Source organism: Homo sapiens, chromosome 18 (assembly GCF_000001405.40).
Source record: "Homo sapiens chromosome 18, GRCh38.p14 Primary Assembly".
In the NCBI taxonomy this organism is placed as follows: Eukaryota; Metazoa; Chordata; class Mammalia; order Primates; family Hominidae; genus Homo; species Homo sapiens.
Genome location: NC_000018.10, coordinates 30297386 through 30300328, shown reverse-complemented (window position 1 = coordinate 30300328; position 2943 = coordinate 30297386). Strand labels below are relative to the sequence as shown.

Genomic DNA, 2943 nt, shown 5'->3' with positions numbered 1-2943 from the left:
TTAAAGGTTTAATTGCTTCAAAATTTCTATTCCTCCTGGTGGATGAGTGTTTAGTGGCAGTCTATCAGTGCTTAGGGAGTCTTAGACAGGAACCCTTAACAGAAGGAAAACATTTATGTATTAATTTTCACTCTTTTCTCAATAAAATAACAAAAAGTAAAATTATGTATGCTCAAGAATCATCAGTATATAAATACAAGAAAATATTCCAAAATAACACCAGGGTATATCTCTGGTTAACGAAATTATAGGAATATTTAATTTTCTTCCAAATGCTTTTTCTAATTTTTAAATGTTTAAAATCACAATTATTAAACACCTTTTCTATTTTAAATATGCCTATAATTCTTCCATTGTAGTTATTATTTAAGGCAAATAATTATCTTGGCCTTGGCGTCAACAGTTAAAATGCAACTCCCCTTAGAACAATCATCATTATATGCTTTAAATATAACAAAAGTTGGTTTATTAAATTACATTTTCTTTGGTAGGAACAAAGTAAGGCAGTGATTTCGAAAATTTTTAAGGCTATTAAATAAAATATAGTGGGGCTACTAGGAATAAACAATGTATTTTCACATCAACAAAAATTACTTATCCTTTGACTGTACAGAAAAGTAATATAAAATAAAAAGAAACAAATACGACCTGCAGGCAACACTCTTAACTGATTTATACCACTTTGGCAATCCCTAATCTCCCTGCTTCAGATCAGCTTTTAGCATTAATACTGTGACACCTAATAGCTGAGCATCCTATCAACGCAAAAAGTGCAACTTTAACTAGGTGTTTCTGATACGTGGCAAAGTCACTGATTTAATTAGAATCATTCCTTTAAATTTCAAAAGTTCACTGTTACAGTATTTTCACAAATGCCTCTAAAATTAAGTGAATGTTTTTGAGTTAAATTTTATCTCATTGATGATTGGTGGCCATGTTACATCATACCATTCCATCTTTCAGTATAAATAAGATAAATCTAGAGAAAATAGAAATGACCTTTGCATCTGATTAAAGTATATTTTGTATCTGGTATTTTAAAATAGGATCATTTAAAGTTTTCTATGGCAAGTTGATTTGAGAAACATTCATTTCAAGAGCCAAAGGGAAGCCTACTAATGCATTTATCTAAAACTAACAATCATAATTAGCTTAAGTTATGCAATGCCCTCAATAAATAAGTGACGGTTTTAAGCCAAGTCATATTTTTGCTACTATTTTGCTAAATATTTGTGGAATAAAATGATTTGAATCATTTGCAAGTTATATAAGCCATTAGTGATTATGGCCCAAGGTATCAACGGAAAGTTATTTAAGTAATTTCCAAGGCCTGTTCCACAGTAGACCAGATGTTAATCATCTTTTATGTCTTTTATAAACATGGAAGCAATTAAGTGAAAATTGCCAGGTTTACACAGAAGACATTATCATTGACAATTATAGTATTAGAGAATAACTAGTGATTTAAGTTTTATTGAAGAATACAAACTTCATACCATATTACAATGGCCCTTTTGTAAACTATAAAACAAAGCAAATTAAGTAAATAAACACAGGAGATTTCCAGAAATATTCATGGGAAGGGAAAGAAAACATTTGCAGTACAGCAGTGAATAAAACACAGTCTCCCTTAGAAATAGTCAAAAAAATACATGTGAATGTGATTAATCTTAAAAATAGTGAGTTAAGGGAGAGTGTGATTTTTATGATGGTCCAGTCTTTTGATTCTGAGAGAGGTACCATACTAAAACTGAGGCTAATCTATTGCTTAAAAGAACCAAATGTGTCTCTGCCAGGTTTTGATATCAGGATAATGCTGGCCTCATAAAATGAGTTAGGGAGGATCCCCTCTTTTTCTATTGTTTGAAATAGATTCAGAAGGAATGGTACCAGCTCCTCTTTGTACCTCTGGTAGAATTTGGCTGTGAATCCTTCTGGTGCTGGGCTTTTTTGGTTGGTAGGCTATTAATTACTGCCTCAATTACAGAACTTGTTATTAGTCTATTCAGGGATTTGACTTCTTCCTGGTTTAGTCTTGGAAGGGTTTATGTGTTCAGGAATGTGTCCATTTCTTATAGATTTTCTAGTTTATTTGCATAGAAGTGTTTACAGTATTCTCTGATGGTAGTGTGTATTTCTGTGGGATCAGTGGTGATATGCCCTTTATCATTTTTTATTGTGTCTATTTGATTATTCTCTCTTTTCTTCTTCATTGGTCTGGCTAGTGGTCTATCTAGTTTGTTAATCTTTAAAAAAAAAACAGCTCCTGGATTCATTGATTTTTTTAAGGGTTTTTCATGTCTCCATCTCCTTCAGTTCAGCTCCAATCTTAGTTATTTGTTGTCTTCTGCTAGCTTTTGAATTTGTTTGCTCTTGCTTCTCTAGTTCTTTTAATTGCGATGTTAGAGTGTCGATTTTAGATCTTTCCCACTTTCTCCTGTGGGAATTTAGAAGCCAGTATTATCTTGATATGAAAACCTGGCAGACAAAAAAATGAAAAATTCATGCCAATGTCCCTGATGAACATTGATGCAAAAATCCTCAATAAAATACTGGCAAACCAAATCCACCAGCATATCAAAAAGCTTATCCACCATAATCAAGTAGGCTTTATCCGTGGGATTCAAGGCTGGTTCAACATATGCAAATCAATAAATGTAATCCATCACATAAACAGAACCAATGACAAAAACCAAATGGTTATCTCAATAGATGCAGAAAAGGCCTTCGATAAAATTCAACACCCCATCATGCTAAAACCTCTCAAAAAACTAGGCATTGATGGAACATATCCCAAAATAATAACAACTATTTATGACAAACCCACAGCCAATATCATACTGAATGGGCAAAATGGGCTTTCAAAACTGGCACAAGACAAGGATGCCCTCTCTCACCATTCGTATTCAAGATAGTATTGGAAGTTCTGGCCAGGACAATCAG

At 32.8% G+C, this 2943-nt stretch overlaps 1 non-coding gene across 1 annotated transcript; it reads right to left on the bottom strand.

Moving 5' to 3' along the window:
• Positions 1–1368: 1368 nt before the first annotated feature.
• Positions 1369–1419, bottom strand: MIR302F (microRNA 302f). The gene has a single exon (NR_031684.1). It is a non-coding gene; the product is annotated as a microRNA 302f (primary transcript).
• Positions 1420–2943: the final 1524 nt, after the last annotated feature.